The 17,153-nt window shown below is 47.3% G+C and overlaps 2 annotated features.

The window, feature by feature from the left end:
* Nucleotides 47-356: an enhancer, noted in NCBI's record as "active region_147". NCBI's record gives its function as "activates an Ori minimal core promoter by ATAC-STARR-seq in GM12878 lymphoblastoid cells {active_cell/tissue: GM12878}" and the evidence as "EXISTENCE:reporter gene assay evidence [ECO:0000049][PMID:35858748]".
* Nucleotides 10,372-10,551: an enhancer, noted in NCBI's record as "active region_146". NCBI's record gives its function as "activates an Ori minimal core promoter by ATAC-STARR-seq in GM12878 lymphoblastoid cells {active_cell/tissue: GM12878}" and the evidence as "EXISTENCE:reporter gene assay evidence [ECO:0000049][PMID:35858748]".

The following is a 17,153-nucleotide window of genomic DNA, read 5'->3' as shown; positions in this document are numbered from 1 at the left end:
TGCACCTCGGTCCTGCAGGCCGTCCGCCTGGCGCAGCTGTAGCCATAGCAACTCACGCAGGACCGCGCTTTACAGTTTACCAGGCACTCGGACGCCTTTGGCGCGAGCGCCCGTCGCTCCTTCCTCAGGTCACTGCGGTGCACCGTGCGGGTCCGCGTCGTGTCCTCCGCTCCGGAGCAGGGACCGGGCGTGCTCGTTCAGTCCTGTGCGCACTCGGAATGGGGCCGGGGAAGGCTGAGCCTCAGGGCGACCCTGATGTGGAGCCGTGCGACCGCTCACTGCGGTTGAAGAGACCCAGGCGCAGACAGCGCAGGCGGGGTATGTATTGGTTGGAGTATGATGGGGTCAGGACTTGAGTCTTTTACCCAGGCCCGGAGTTAACGGTATTGAACCCCTTCTCATTTTGTAGAGGCTATGTGACCCGCGAGATGGACCAGGTTAAATGCAGAGGCAGATACAAAAAACCAGCCATCTTAAGCCAGACATTTGCAAAGTAGCCAAGCAGCGCTTCTTATCTTACTGAGTCCCTTCTTGCTAGGAGGAAATTGTTATTCAGAAGTTTGAGTTTTAGATTTTTTTTGTTTTTTTTGAGACGGAGTCTCGCACTGTCGCCCGGGCTGGAATGCAGTGGTGTGATCTCAGCTCACTGCACCTTCCGCCTCCCGGGTTCAAGCAATTTTCCTGCCTCAGCCTCCCAAGTAGCTGGGATTACAGGCGCCCGCCACCACGCCCAGCTAATTTTTGTATTTTTAGTAGAGATGGGGTTTCACCATCTTGGCCAGGCTGGTCTCAAACTCCTGACCTCGTGATCCGCCCGCCTTGGCCTCCCAAAGTGCTGAGATTACCGGCGTGAGCCACCGTGCCCGGCCTTTTTTTGATGTCATTGTTGAGATGGAGTCTGGCTGTGTCTCCAGGCTGGAGGGCAGTGGCGCGATCTGGGCTCACTGCAACCTCCACCTCCCAGGTTCAAGCGATTCTCCTGCCTCAGCCTCCCAAGTAGCTGGGACTACAGGTGTGTGCCACCATGCCCAGCTAATGTTTTTATTTTTAGTAGAGACAGGGTTTCACCATGTTGGCCAGGCTGGTCTCGAACTCCTAACCTCAAGTGATCCACCCACCTCAGCCTCCCAAAGTTCTGGGATTAGAGGTGTGAGCCACTGTGCCCGGCCGGTTTTTAATTTTTATAAAGACCAGGTCTTTGCTCTGTTGCCCAGGCTGGAGTGCAGTGGCATGACCATAGCTTACTGCAGCCTTGAACTCCTGAGGTCGAGCAATCTTCTAGCCTCAACTTCCTGAGTAGCTAGGACTACAGGCATGCAACACCATGCCCGGCTAAGACATCCTACTTTAAAATATGTCAAACTTCACAGCACAGTTCTTTTTTTAAAATACAGATTTAATGAGATAATTTACATGTCATACAATTCAAACATTGTAAGTACACATTTGGATGACCTTTAATTTATACTGTTGTGTAGCCATCACCATAATCCACTTATAGAAAACTTCCATCACCCCAAAACGTTCCCTTGGGCCTATTTGTAGTCAGTCTCTGCTCTCACCCCCAGCCAACCTCTGATCTACTTTGCATGGTTTTTGCCTTTTCCAGAAATTTCATAGAAATGGAATAATAGCATATAATTTTTTTGGTCTGGCTTCTTTCACTTAGCATCACGTTTCTGAGGCTCATCTGTGTTGTAGGTATGAGTGGTTTGTTCCTTTTCATTGCTGAGTGGTATTCCATTAATGCAATTGTGTCATCATTTGCTTATCCATTTATCTGTTGATAGACATTTGGATTGTTTCTAGTTTGGGAAATAAATAATTCTGTTTTGAACTCATGTACAAATTGTTGTTTTCATTTCTTTTGTGTGTGTGTGTGTGAGATGGAGTCTCACTCTGTAGCCCAAGCTAGAGTGCAGTGGCACGATCTCGGCTTACTGAAACCTTTGCCTCTGGGGCTCAAGTGATTCTCCTGCCTCAGCCTCCCAAGTAGCTGGGACTAGAGGTGTGCCCCACCACACCCGGTTAATTTTTTTGTATTTTTAGTGGAGACGGGGTTTTACCATGTTGCCCTGGGTGGTCTGGAGAGCTACCACCTTAGCCTCCCAAAGTGCTGGCATTACAGGTGTGAGCCACCACACCCAGCCTGTTGTTTTCATTTCTTTTAGACATATACTTAGGAGTGGATTGCTGGGTTTTAAGGTAAGTGTAACTTTTTAAGAAACTGCTGGCCAGGTGTGGTGGCTCACACCTGTAATCCTAGCACTTTGTGGGGCCAAGACAGGTGGATCACTTGAGCCCAGGAGTTGAAGTCCAGCCTGGGCAACATGGTATAACCCTGTGTCTACTAAAAATACAAAAATTAACCCGTCGTGGTGGCACATGCCTGTAATCCCAGCTACTCAGGAGGCTGAGGCAGGAGAATTGCTTGAACCCGGGAGGTGGAGGGCTCTACTAAAAATAGAAAAACTGAGGTGGGAGGATCACCTGAACCTGGGGAGGTCAAGGCTGCAGGGAGCCATAATTGTGCCTGCACTCCAGGTCTCGCCCTGTCGCCCAGGCTGGAGTGCAGTGGCGTGATCTCGGCTCACTGCAACCTCTGCCTCCTGGGTTCAAGAAATTGTCCTGCCTCAGCCTCCCAAGTAGCCAGGACTACAGGTGCACGCCACCACGCCCAGCTAATTTTTTGTATTTTAGTAGAGACAGGGTTTCACTGCATTGTCCAGGCTGGTCTTGAATCCCTGAGCTCAGGGAATCTCCCCCCTCAGCTTCTCAAAGTGCTAGGATTACAGGCATGGGCCACCACACCCGGCCGATATAAAACTTTTAACAAAACCCCAGACTTTATTCCAATGACAATTTTTCTGCTGGGCATGGCGGTTCACGCCTGTAATCCCAGCATTTTGGGAGGCTGAGGTGGGAGAATCACTTGAGCCCAGGAGTTGGAGACCAGCCTGAGCAACATAGTGAGACCCCCATCTCTACTTAAAAAAACAAAAATTAAAAATAAGACTAGCCAGGTGTGGTGGTGCATGCCTGTAGTCCCAGCTACTCGAGAGGGTTAGGTGGAAAGACTGCTTGAGGCTGGGACATTGAGGCTGCAATGAGTCATGATGGTACCACTGCACTCCAGCCTGAGTGACAGAGCCAAAACCCTGTCTCAAAAAAAAAAAAGAAAAAAAAAAAAGGCCAAGCACGGTGGTCCACACCTGCACTTATAGTCCCAGCACTTTGGAAGGCCGAGGCAGGAGTATCACTTGAGCCCAGGGTTGGAGAACAGCCTGGGCAACATGGCGGAAACCCATCTCTACCAAAAAAAAAAAATTCAAAAATTATGGCCGGGCACAGTGGCCCATGGCTGTAATCCCAGCATTTTAGGAGGCCAAGGCAGGCAGATCACTTGAGCCTAGGAGTTCAAGACCAGTCTGGCCAAACTGGCAAAACCCCATCTCTACTAAAAATCCCAGCTACTCAGGAGGCTGAGGCAGGAGAATTGCTTGAACCTGGGAGGTGCCACTGCACTCCAGCCTGGGCAATAGGGTGAGACTCAGTCTCAAAAAAAAAAAAGTGTCATTTACAATAACATCAAAAGAATAAAATATTTGGAATAAGATATTGAATTTAATAAAATAAGTCCAAAGCCTATACACTCAAAACCACAAAACATTGCTGAAGCAAATTACAGATCTAAATAAGACATTGTAACATGTTAACGGATTTGCAAGACTCAATATCACACTGGCATGATCTCGGCTCACTACAGGCTCCACCTCCCAGGTTTAAGCGATTCTCCTGCCTAAGGCTCCTGAGTAGCTGGGATTACAGGCAAGTGCCACCACATCCAGCTAATTTTTTTTTTTTTTTTTTTTTTTTTAGTAGAGACAGCATTTCATTATGTTGGCTAGGCTGGTCTCGAACTCCTCACCTCAAGTGATCTGCCTGCCTCGGCCTCCCAAAGTGCGGGGATTACAGGCGTTGAGCCACTGTACTGGGCCTATCATGGATTTTCAATTGTATATTTTTCCTTTCAATTCTGTTTTTGAGACTAATGTTAGCAGTGTATATATTTATAATGGCTAAATCTTCATAATGTATTGATATAGCCATTATCATCATAAAATGTTCCTTTATGTTTCTAATATTAATACTACTATTAAAGTCTATGCTGAGTTAAATGTATGCAGGAAGAACTTGGGGAAAAAGGCCATGTTGACTGTTGTTCATATAGCTATTCCTGCTCTCTTGTGATTCTTGATTGCATGGTATATCTTTTCACTTTCACTCTATTATTTGTGTCTTTGAATCTAAAGGATCTCTTGTAGATAGCATATAGTTGAATCTTGCTTTTTTATACAGTTTTACAGTCTGTGCCCTTTGGAATATTTAGTCCATTCATGTTTAATGTAATTGTTGATATGGTTGAATATATGGATGACATTTTAATACTTGTTTTCTATATTTCTCATCTTTGTTGTCCCTTTGTTTCTCTTTAATTCTTTTTTGAGATGGAGTCTCACTCTGTCGCCCAGGCTGGAGTGCAGTGGCACCATCTCAGTTCACTGCAACCTCCACCTCACGGGTTAAAGCAATTCTCCTGTTTTAAGCCTGCCAAGTAGCTGGGATTACAGGCATGCCACCATGACTGGCTAATTTTTGCATTTTTAGTAGAGACAGGGTTTCACCATGTTGGCCAGGCTGGTCTTGAGCTCCTGACCTCAGGTGATCTGCCTGCCTCGGCCTCCCCAAGTGCTGGAATTACTGGCGTGAGCCACCACGCCTGGCTTCTTTAACTCCTTTTTCTGTGTTACATTTGTGTATGTGTATGTATGTATTATCCTGATCCCAAAGTTGAAGGGTTTTTTCCTTTTAGTTATATGTTTGAGTTACTTTCTGTGTGGTTGTCTAGGGATTGCAGTATGTAGCTTTAACTTATTACAGTATATTTCAGCTCAATACTGAAAATTCTGGTAAAATACAGTAACTTTACTACCCTTCCCTTGCTCTTCCTTTGTGTTATATATATATCTTTATATGTTATAAACCCAGCAATGTGTTATAACTGGTTTAAACAACCTTGTTTTTTAAAAAATTAAAAAAGAGAGAAAAATATAAAGTATAAAAGAGAAATATAGGGAGGCCGAGGTGGGCAGATCACGAGGTCAGGAGATCGAGACCATCCCGGCTAACTTGGTGAAACCCCGACTCTACTAAAAATACAAAAAATTAGCTGGGTGTGGTGGCGTGCACCTGTAGTCCCAGCTACTCAGGAGGCTGAGGAAGGAGAATTGCTTGAACCCGGGAGGCGGAGGCTTCAGTGAGCCGGGATTGTGCCACTGCACTCCAGTCTGAGCAACAGACCAAGACACTGTCTCAAAAAAAAAAAAAAAAAAAGAGAAATATATAGTGTTTTACATTTAGCTGCCTTCATCATTCTAGTGCTCCATGCCTTCTGGTGAATTCAAGATATTGTTCTAGTGTCCTTTTCTTTTAGGCTGAAGGACTTCCTTTAGTACTTCTTTTTTTTTTTTTTTTGGAGACAGAATTTTGCTCTTGTCAACCATGCTGGAGTGCAGTGGCTCAATCTCGGCTCACCACAACCTCTGCCTCCCAGGTTCAAGCGATTCTTCTGCCACAGCCTCCCAAGTAGCTGGGATTACAGGCATGTGCCATCATGCCTGGCTAATTTTGTATTTTTAGTAGAGATGGGGTTTCTCCATGTTGGTCAGGCTGGTCTCGAACTTCCGACCTCAGGTGATCTGCCTGCCTTGGCCTCAGAAAGTGCTGAGATTACAGGAGTGAGCCACCACACCCGGCCCCTTTAGTACCTCTTTTAGGAGAGGTCTGCTAGCAATAATTCTCTTATTCTCCCTTTTTAAAAATCTCAGAATGTCTTTATTTCACCTTTTTCTTGGGACAGGGTCTTGGTCTGTCACCCAGTCTGGAGTGCTGTGGTTTGAACATAGCTTACTGTACCCCCAACCTCCTGGGCTCAAGCAGTTCTCCCACTTCAGCCTCCCAAGTAGCTAGGACCGCAGGTGGGTGCCACCATGTCTGGCTAATTTTTAAAATTTTTCTGTAGAGGCTGGTCTGGTCCTCCTGGGCGCAAGCAATCCTGCTTCAGACTCCCACAGTGCTGGGAGTACAGGTGTGAGCCACCGCACCCGGCCTCACCTTCACTTTTGAAGGCTAGTTTTGCTGTATATAAAATTATTGGGTGATTGTTTTTTCCTTTCAGCACTTTGAATATCCATTGCAGTGGCTTTAGCCTTTACTGTTTCTGATGAGCAGTTAAGCATTTTTTTTTTTTTTTTTTTTTTTTCAGAGACAGGGTGTTGCTCTGTTGCCCAGGCTGGGGTGCAGTGGCACAATCACAGTTCACGGCAACCTTGACCTCCTGGGCTCAAGCAATCCCACCTCAGCCCCCAAAATGAGTGGGACTACAGGTTCACGCCACCATGCCTGGCTAATTTTTGTATTTTTAATAGAGATGGAGTTTCACCATGTTGGCCATGGCTGGTCTCAAACTCCTGATCTCAAGTGATCTGCCCACCTTGGCCTCCCAAAGTGCTAGGATTACAGGTGTGAGCCACCACACCCAGCCCAGATTTTTGTTTCTTTTCTTTTTCCTTTTTTTTTTTGACACAGGGACTCGCTCTGTTGTCCAGCCTGAAGTGCAGTGGCTCACTGCAGTCTTGAACTCCTGGGCTCAAGCAATCCTCCCATCTCAGCCTCCCAAGTTGTTGGGACTACAGGTGCACACCACCGTGTCTGGCCTTTTTTTTTTTTTTTTTTTTTTTTAAGAGACAAGACGAGATCTCTCTCTGTTGCCCAGGCTGGTCTCAAACTCCTGGACTTAAATAATCCTCCCACCTTGGCGTCCCAAAGTGCTAGGATTACAGGTTGAGCTACTGCACCCAGATTTTTTTTATTCTTTAGGTTTTAGCTTGACTTCCTGATGGTTGCCTTGTGTCTCCATAACTTAGTGGCCAAAGATCTGGGAAGAGGTTGTGCTCAAACACCTTGGCTGTGCTCAGATATTTAGGCCTATCTGGGTGGGTTGGCGGTGCATTCAGGGATCACCTACTTCTTAAATCTCCCTTGGCTTTTTTTTTTTTTTTTTTTTGAGACAGAATTTTGCTCTTGCTCCCCAGGCTGGAGTGCAGTGGTGGGATCTTGGCTCACTGCAACCTCTGCCTCCTGGGTTCAAGCGATTCTCCTACCTCAGCCTCCCAAGTAGCTGGGATTACAGGCACCTGCTACCATGCCTGGCTAATTCTTTGTATTTTTAGTAGAGACGGGGTTTCACCATGTTGGCCAGGCTGGTCTTGAACTCCTGACCTCAGGTGATCCACCCGCCTCTGCCTCCCAGAGTGCTGGGATTACAGCGTGAGCCCACCACAACCAGCCTCCCTTGACTTTTAACATTTTTCTTTTTCTTTTTTTTTTTTTTGAGATGGAGTTTCACTCTGTCACCCAGGCTGGAGTGCAATGATGCAATCTCAGCTCACTGCAACCTCCGCCTCCTGGGTTCAAGCGATTCTCCTGCCTCATCCTCCCAAGTAGCTGGGATTACAGGCATGCACCACCACGCCTGGCTAATTTTTGTATTTTCAGTAGAGACGGGGTTTTGCTGTGTTAGCCAGGCTAGTCTTGAACTCCTGACCTCAGGTGATCTGCCTACCTTGGCCTCCCAAAGTGCTGGGATTACAGGTGTGAGCCATGGTGCCCAGCTCTCCCTTGGCTTTTAATTTCTATGGGCTTTCTGAAGTCTCATCTGTGTACGTGTCTGGTTTTCCAGCCAGCGAGTGATGTGCTGAGGTCCTGTCTAATCCTTTTGTGGCATTCTCATTTCCAGAGTCTCCTAGATTTCTAGCTAGTCTGCTACTTGAGATCTCAGGCTAGTAAGCTGTGGGTTTCTTTCTCAAGAAACGGCTTTCTCAAGCCGTTTATTTCTCAAGAACTTTGCCACTTTTAGCTGATAAAAAAGTACACTTCTTGAGGCCGGGTGCGGTGGCTCACGCCTGTAATCCCAGCACTTTGGGAGGCTGAGGAGGGCGGATCACAAGGTCAGGAGTTTGAGACCAGCCTGACCAAAATGGTGAAACCCCGTCTCTACTAAAAATTGAAAAATTAGCCAGGTATGGTGGCAGGCGCCTGTAGTCCCAGCTACTCGGGAGGCTGAGGCAGGAGAATGGCGTGAACCCGGGAAGCGGAGCTTGCAGTGAGCTGAGATCGCGCCACTGCACTCCATCCTGGGCGACAGAGTGAGACTCCATTTAAAAAAAAAAAAAAAAAAAAAAAGGTACACTTCTCGGCCCGGGTCAGTGGCTCACACCTGTAAACCCAGCACTTTGGGAGGCCGATTTAGGAGGCCGAGGTGGAGGATCACCTGAGGTCGGGAGTTTGAGACCAGCCTGACCAACAAGGAGAAACCCCATCTCTACTAAAAATAAAAAATTAGCCGCAGTGGTGCATGCCTGTAATCCCAGCTACTGGGGAGGCTGAGGCAAAAGAATTGCTTGAACCTGGGAGGCAGATGTTGCAGTGAGCCGAGATCGTGCCACTGCACTCCAGCCTGGGCAACAAGAGCAAAACTCCGTCTCAAAAAAAAAAAAGTTCTAGCACTTTTTTTTTCTTTATCTTTTTCTTTTCTTTTGATACTAAGTTTCGCTCTTGTTGCCCAGTCTGGAGGGCAGTGGTGCTATCTTGGCTCACCGCAACCTCCGCCTCCCAGGTTCAAGCGATTCTCCTGTCTCAGCCTCCCAAGTTGCTGGGATTACAGGCATGAGCCACCATGCCTGGCTAATTTTTTTGTATTTTTCGTAGAGACATGGGTTTCACCAGGTTGGTCAGGCTGGTCTCGAACTCCTGACCTCAGGTGATCCACCTGCCTAGGCGTCCCAAAGTGCAGGGATTACAGGCGTGAGCCACTCTTTTTCTTTTTATTATTCATTATTATTTTTTGTAGAGACAGGGTCTTGCTTGGTTGCATAGGCTGGCCTTGAACTCCTGGCCTCCAGCCAACTTCCCACCTTTGCTTCCCAAAGTGTTGGGAGATTACAGGTGCAAGCTACCGTGCCCAGCCAGTTTTTTCTCAAGAATAAATGCTTCTTAATTTGCCTGCCTTTGGTTGATGTCCAGAACCTTGAAATGTTTTTGGTATATATTTTTTCCAATTTTATGCTTTTTTATTTTTGTAGAGTGCATTCCCTATTCTCTTCACGCTGCAGCAGCCAGCAGTCCCTCCACAGCACTGTCCTTGTCCTTTTGTCTGTGGTTAAGGCCTTCCTCCAGAGTCCGCCAGAAAGTAGTCAGGGTCTGTGGGCTTTTACTGAAGGCCCTGACCACAGGGCATGCTGCAATAATAGATCCTGTGCTGGGTGCTGCCTCTGCTGGCATTTCTCTTTCACAGGCTGGATTTGGGACCTCAGCCTTACAGGAAATAAGGAGACTGAGGATCAGAAAATGTGGAGAGAAGCCTCAATAGAAAGGACACACAGGCTCACACCTGTAACTCCAGCACTTTGTGAGGCCGAGGCGGGTGGATCACCTGAGGTCAAGAGTTTGAGACCACCAACATGGCAAAACCCCGTCTCTACTAAAAATACAAAAAATTAGCCAGGCGTGTTGGTGGGCGCCTGTAATCCCAGCTACTCGGGAGGCTGAGGCAGGAGAATCACTTGAACCCAGGAGGCAGAGGTTGCAGTGAGCCGAGATCACGCAACTACACTCCAGCCTGGACCACAAGAGTGAAACTCGTCTCAAAAAAAACCCCCCCAAAATTAGCTGGGCGTGGTGGTGCATCCTGTAGTCCCAGCTACTTAGGAGGCTGAGGCCTAAGAATTGCTTGAACCCAGTGGTAAGGGTGGGGGACAGAGGTTGCAGTGAGCCAAGATCATGCCATTGCACTCCAGCCTGGGCAACAGAATGATGCTCTGTCTCAAAAAAAGGACAAAAGGACTGAGAGCCTCCTCAAACTCCTGCCTTGCTCCAGAGGCTCACAGCAGTCCTCAGGCTGCTTGACGACAGGGATGCCACTGCCTGCCTGTCCTGCTTCCTTCCCAGGGTGGGCACAGCAAAATGAGCTAATGTCCATGAAAGTTCCTTTTAAACTTAAGACTGCTCCACAATTTTCATATTTATTAATATTCTCTAACGTGACAAACTCAGCTCAGGGAAGTTGAACTTCCCAGCTAGTTAGTGGCGGAGGTGAACTTTAACCCAAGTCTACTTACTAGGGCCAAGCCCAGCATTCTTTCCCAATAGGGTTAGCAGGACATAATCATGTATACTCACAGTGACTGTGTTCCCAATGAACCTGGGTATGTCTGCATTTTAGAGATGTTTCATTGACTTTCAACGGAAAGCTGGATTTTGGAGAACAAACAGTACTTGCAGAAATTTCACAAGTAGAACTTCACACAATGGCTCCCTTAAAAGAACCTTGGTGACAGGCATCCTTTTCAACTTTGTTGCAGCTGCTTCCTCTTTCTATGGGGCTCAGTTACAAGGAAAGCCTACCATCAGACTTTCTTGCAGGAACAAATTGATTGCTTTAGTCTGAGATTTAGCAAGGGAGAAATTATGCTGAGTCAATGTGAATAATTTAACCAAGTTACTACTGAAGAGATTTTATGCAAACATATTGCATAAAATCAATATGTATCTAATCATATAGTCATGTTTTCCCTTCTAATAATGTTACATGCTACACAAACTTTCCATTTCCATGTTAAGGTTCTAATCAGCAGTAAAAAATACTGCTTCTCAGAATTGCTGGAAAACTACAGTAAGCTGGCTTGGGAGAGCAGGACTGGAACAAAGGCAAGTCTCCCCCTGGGGATGAACAGAATCAAGCCAGGGCGCGCTAGAGCTGTGTCAGGCTGACTTAGCTTTTTAGTTGTTAGAAACTCAAGTGCTTGGCTTAAAATGCTTAAGAAAGTCAACCCACATTATTATCCACCAGAAAAACTTTCTGGCTTGCCCTAACTCCCCAAATCCCAAATCAAAGCATGAGCACAAGTTCTACAAGAACAGCCCTCTATGCAAACCTCCCAGGGTGGAATCCTAGTTTGATTTACGTAAGAGGGTGTGTAAAGCAACATACCAGTAAGGGCAGATTTGAAAATCCCAGCTCTGACACTCACTCAACTAAATAATTCTCGTAGCTGAACTCAAACTGAACTCAAATGACCTGAATATATTTTAGGTGGAAAGAGTACTTTTTTTTTTTTTGAGACGTGGTCTTGCCCTGTTGCCTGGGCTAGGCTGGAACTCCTGGGCTCAGAGGAGCTTGCATGAAATGATGCCTTTCATTTACAGGCACATGCCACTATGCCCAGCTCCTTTTTTTTTTTTTTTTTTTTTTTGAGACAGGGTCTTGCTTTGTTACCCAGGCGCCAGTGGCACCATCATAGCTCACTGCAGTCTCAAACTCCTGGGCTCAAGGGATCCTCCCATCTCAGCTTCCTGAGTAGCTGAGGCTACAGGTGTGTACCACCATGCCCAGTTAATTGTTTTTATTTTTTGTAGAAATGGGGGCTCACTAAGTTGCCCAGGCTGGTTTTGAGCTCTGGCTTCAAGTGATCCTCCTGCCACGGCCTCTCAAAGTGCTGGGATTACAGGTGTAAGCCACCATGCCTGCTCCCCCCGCCTTTTTTTTTTTTTTTTTTTTTTTTTAAAGAAACAGGTTCTTGCTTTGTTGCCCATGCTGGCCTTGAACTGCTGGACTCAAGCAATCATTCCACGTTAGCTTCCAGAGTAGCAGAAGGAGCAATTCTGAAAAAGCCCAGAGGCTATATATTCTCACCCCAGAGGAGTATGCTTGTGATGTGCTCAGAATAGCTAAAATGGTCTGTGCAGGGACAAGAGTTCCTAAGGGAAAGTGGAATATCTCCCCATCCAACCGCAAGTGGAATAACAAGAAGAACCAGATAGAAAAGCAGCGCACGAGCCCGGGCCAGGCGCAGTGGCCCACACCTGTAATCCCAGCACTTTGGGAGGCCGAGGTGGGCAGATCACAAGGTCAGGAGATCAAGACCATCCTGGCTAACACGGTGAAACCCTGTCTCTACTAAGAAATACAAAAAATTAGCCAGGCGTGGTGGCGGGCGCCTGTAGTCCCAGCTACTCAGGAAGCTGAGGCAGGAGAATGGCGTGAACCCAGGAGGCGGAGCTTGCAGTGAGCCGAGATTGTGCCACTGCACTCCAGCCTGGGCGACGGAGCAAGACTCCGTCTCAAAACAACAACAACAAAAGAAAAGCAGCGCACCAGACTCATGCATGCTTCCATGGGTCACCTGACTTCCCAAACTATCAGCTTTGCAAGAGACATGGGGATTTACTAAGCGTGCAACCCTAGTGAGGATTCAATCCTACATGCTCCTGGGTGAGGTCTAGTTGAGGGCACAACCAGCATAATATGCACTGATTCGGGGATGATCTCCCATTTTAAACTGCAAGTCCAGTTTCAGGAAGACGTGGCCTGACATAAGCCCTAGAGCTGACATTAACTAACTTTTTTTTTTTTTTTTTTTTTGAGACAAAAATCTCGCTCTGTAGCCCAGGCTGGAGTGCAATGGTGTGATCCCGGCTCACCGCAACCTCTGCCTCCCGGGTTCAAGTGATTCTCCAGCCTCAGCCTCCCGAGTAGCTGGGATTACAGGTACCCACCACCATGCCCAGCTAATTTTTGTATTTTTAGTAGAGACAGGGTTTCACCATGTTGGCCAGGCTGGTTTTGAACTCCTGAGCTCAGGTGATCCACCCGCCTTAGCCTCCCAAAGTGCTGGGATTACAGGCATGAGCCACCACGCCCAGCCAGACATTAACTTAAGACTGAAGAGTCCTAGCAATCCAGAGACTTGCAGTGTTCCTATCACTGAGCTGTCGGCAGCACTGTGGATATAAGCCAGGGTGCTCAGTTGGATCTAGGACCTACCTCTCTGCTGTGCACTGGCCCCCAGTCCCTCAGGCCCACTCCACAACTCTCTCCACCTCACTGTCTTCCCCACTGCCAGGTTTTCCCTCCCAGTTCATTTTTTCCAATTAGTACATGCACAAGCTATGCTATTTCCCTTCTTTAAAACAAAAGCCTCTCCTTTACCCCATATCCCCTTCCAGTTACTCCATTTGTCTTTTCCCTTTTACAGAAAAATCTATGAAAGAATTGTTTGTACTGTTTCACCCTCCTCTCCTCCCACTTTCCCTAGAACCTACTCCAATTAGGCACCACTCAAACAAATGCTCCCCTCACCAATGACCTTGCTAGTGTAGAAGCACTCCTGATGCCTCCCTCCATGAGAAGTGAGCCCCATTACTAGAATGTTCCTGTGAGTCTGGAAGGAGCGGTTAGGCATAGACTGCCTGGCCACTTCCTCCCTCTCTCTCAGAACCTCGGCTGCCTTCAGGGGACATATGCGCTGCGTTCCTCTTAACTTCTGCTACTCAAAGAGTGATCCCCACAATGGCAATACTGACATCACTTGGAAGCTTATTAGAAAAGCAGAATCTCAGGCTCCACCCAAGCCCTACTCAATCAGAACCTGCATTTTAGTACGATCCCCAGGGGATTCTGGTGCACAATAAAGTTCAAGAAGCACTGCTCTAAACCGCCTCATTCTGAGGTTCAGCCTTACAAAATAAATCCAGGCCGGGCGCGGTGGCTCACGCCTGTAATTCCAGCACTTTGGGAGGCTGAGGCGGGCAGACCATGAGGTCAGGAGATCGAGACCATCCTGGCTAACATGGTGAAGCCCCGTCTCTACTAAAAATACAAAAAAAAAAATTAGCCGGGCGCGGTGGCGGGTGCCTGTAGTCCCAGCTACTGGGGAGGCTGAGGCAGGAGAATGGTGTGAATCTGGGAGGCGGAGCTTGCAGTGAGCCAAGATGACACCACTGCACTCCAGCCTGGGCGACAGAGCGAGATGCCATCACAAAAAAAAAAGAAAAGAAAAGAAATCCAGTGTTCCCAGATGTAACCACATTTTCTAACAGCAGTTTTATCAGTAATAAGGGTGGTATTTTGGTCTCCCATCTCCCATCGTCTTATTTTTTGTTTCTTAATTGGTTCTGAAATTGGGAAAAATTAGGGTATCCCCTGGCTCCCTCGGACTTCTTACACCTTTCAGTTAACAAAACCTGTGGTCCCTGCTCAGTCCTTCCTGTAACCTATTGGCTGCCCTGGACAAAGCAACCACTTCCTCAGTCTTCCACACTCTCCCTCCACGGCCACTGCTTGTCCTCCTGGCTGGACTCCTCTCTCTTCCTGACCTCCATGTGTTGGAGCGCACCAAGCTCCAAGATCAGTCCTTGGTTCCTGTCAGCCACACACACGCTCCAGGTCTCCTTCCCTGCCTGAGGCTCGATCTGCTATCTTCATGCCGCCAACTCCCAAATGTGTGTCTCCAGCTCCAACCACTCCCCTTGAATCCCGCTAGTCCAGCCAACTGTTTTGTTGACTATACACTTAGGTGCATGTGTTGGCATCTGAAAGTGAACATGACTCAAATCAAATTATTATTATTATTTTGAGACAGTTTCGCTCTCTGTTGCTCAGGCTGGAGTGCAGTGGCGTGATCTCAGATCACTGCAACCTCTGCCTCCTGGGTCCAAGCGGTTCTCCTGTCTCAGCCTCCCAAATAGCTGGGATTACAGGCGCCTGCCACCACGCCCCGCTAATTTTTGTATTTTTAGTAGAGACGGGGTTTCACCATGTTGGCCAGGCTGGCCTCAAACTCCTGACCTCAGGTGATCTGCCCGCCTCGGCCTCCCAAAGTGCTATTTTCTTAACAGTCAGGGTCTCAACTCTGTTGACCAGGCTGGAGTGCAGTGGCAAGATCACAGCTCACTGCAGCTTCCAACTCCTGGGCTCAAGCGATCCTTCTGCCTTAGTCTCCTGGGTATCTGGCACTACTGGCGTGCACCATCATGCCCAGCTAATTTTTAATTGTTTGTAGAGATGGGGTCTCACTACATTGCCCAGGCTGGTCGGTCTCGAAGTCTTGGGCTCCAGTGATCCTCCCACCTTGGCTTCCCAAAGTGCTGGGATTACAGGCATGACCATTCTCAGCTTTTGTTCTACCAATTGTCTTCACCTTAGAAAACTGCAATGCTGTTCTTTTACTCAGGCACTTACCCTTTTAGTTACTTTTCTCCTTTCTCTCCAACAACTCTGCATGAAGTCTCTCAGAAAACTGTTCTAACTTCAAAATGTACCTTGAATCTGCCCATTTCGTCCCACCTATACTCTACTACCTTAGTCTGAGCCACCGTCTCCTCCCCTGGAATACTGGGGTAACAATCTTATTTTGCCCCTTTTTTCCACTTGTCCCTGCCTGAGTACAAAGACTGTTTTCCAGAATGGTCTTTTAAAAATGTAAATAAGCCCCTGTGACTCCTCTGCTCCAAAGCCTTCAATGGCTTCCCATTCACTCTAATGAAATTCCAAGTCCTCACCTAAGCCCTAAATATCCTGGTCCCTGGCTACTTTCTGATGTCTTCTATTGCGCTCCCAGTCCCTGACTCTGTACCAGCGACCTTGCTATTTCTGGAACCTACTGAGGACACTGCTGCCTCAAGGGCTTCATTTCTCTACTTGGAGACCTCTTTGCCCAGGGGTTTGCATGGCTTACCCTATCCTTTCATTCTAGAGTCTGCTCAAATGTGATCTCCGAAGAGAGGCCTTCCCTGACTATGCCATCTAAACATCCCTCGTTCCCATCCCTCTTTCATCCTTTTATTTAGCTGCTTTCCTCCAAAATACTTAGGACCGATGTTGTAAATTTGTTTAAACATTGTCTTCCCCACTGGAATGGGAGGGCACAAGTGCATGGGCTTGCTTTGTTGGCTGCTGAATTACTGCACCCAGCAGCACACCAGGCACAGGGTGGGTACTCAAATATTGGTTGGAACAAATCATTGCTTTTAACCTGAGGGCTGCTCCTCCCTCCCTTCTTCTGTTTCTCCCCAAACACCCAGGACAGTGGCCCCTGCTCATGCTCTGCTCGTGATGAGGGCTTGTTAAATTAAATTGACATGTTCAACTTTTCAAATCCCCATTTACCCTTCCCCACCCAAAAAAACCCAACATGGCCAGGCACGGTGGCTCACGCCTGTAATCCCAGCACTTTGGGAGGCCGAGGTGGGCGGATCACCTGAGGTCAGGAGTTTGAGACCAGTCTGGCCAATGTGCTGAAACCCCGTCTCTACTAAAAATATTTTTAAAAATTAGCCAGGTGTGGTGGCGGGCACCTGTAATTGCAACTACCTGGGAGGCTGAGGAAAGAGAATTGTTTGAACTGGGGAGGCAGAGGTTGCAGTGAGCTGAGATGGTGCCATTGCACACCAGCATGGGTGACAAGAGTCAAACTCCATCTCAAAAAAATAATTATAGGTTGGGCACGGTGGCTCAAGCCTGTAATCCTAGCACTTTGGGAGGCTGAGGCGGGTGGATCACAAGGTCAGGAGCTTGAGACCAGCCTGGCCAACACAGTGAAACCCCTCTCTACTAAAAATAAAATCAGCCAGGCGTGATGGATGCCTGTAATCCCAGCTACTTGGGAGGCTGAGGCAGGGAGAATCGCTTGAACCCGGGAGGTGGAAAGTTGCAGTGAGCCGAGATCATGCCACTGTACTCCAGCCTGGACGACAGAGTGAGACTCCATCTCAAAATAAATAAATAAATAAATAAAATAATAATAATAATAATAATAATAATAATACAAAAATTAGCCACGCATGGTGGCGCACGCCTGTAATCCCAGCTACTCAGGAGTCTGAGGCAGGAGAATCGCTTGAACCCAGGAGGCAGAGGTTGCAGTGACCCGAGATCACATCACTGCACTCCAGCATGGGTGACAGAGCAAGACTCTGTCTCAAAAAGAAAAAAAAAAAAAAAAAGAAGCCAACACAACACTACAGAATTATTGGAAGGCATACAAGGAGGCTTCAGGAGAAAAACAACAAATCTTCTAGCTAAAATAACCACTTACATCTTTGGGAGAAAAGTACTTTCAAAGAAACAGCACCATATTAGCTTTCTTGGTTATATAAAAACCACGATTTTGAATATCAGAAAGGAATACTTAAGCGATGATATCGTGACTTCTGTCTTAGAAAGGTATTATCTTTGCAAATCAAGAAAAGAAATC

This window comes from Homo sapiens, chromosome 1, assembly GCF_000001405.40.
Source record: "Homo sapiens chromosome 1, GRCh38.p14 Primary Assembly".
In the NCBI taxonomy this organism is placed as follows: Eukaryota; Metazoa; Chordata; class Mammalia; order Primates; family Hominidae; genus Homo; species Homo sapiens.
Note: the sequence above shows the minus strand (reverse complement) of the source record. Positions and strands in the feature narration are given on the sequence as shown.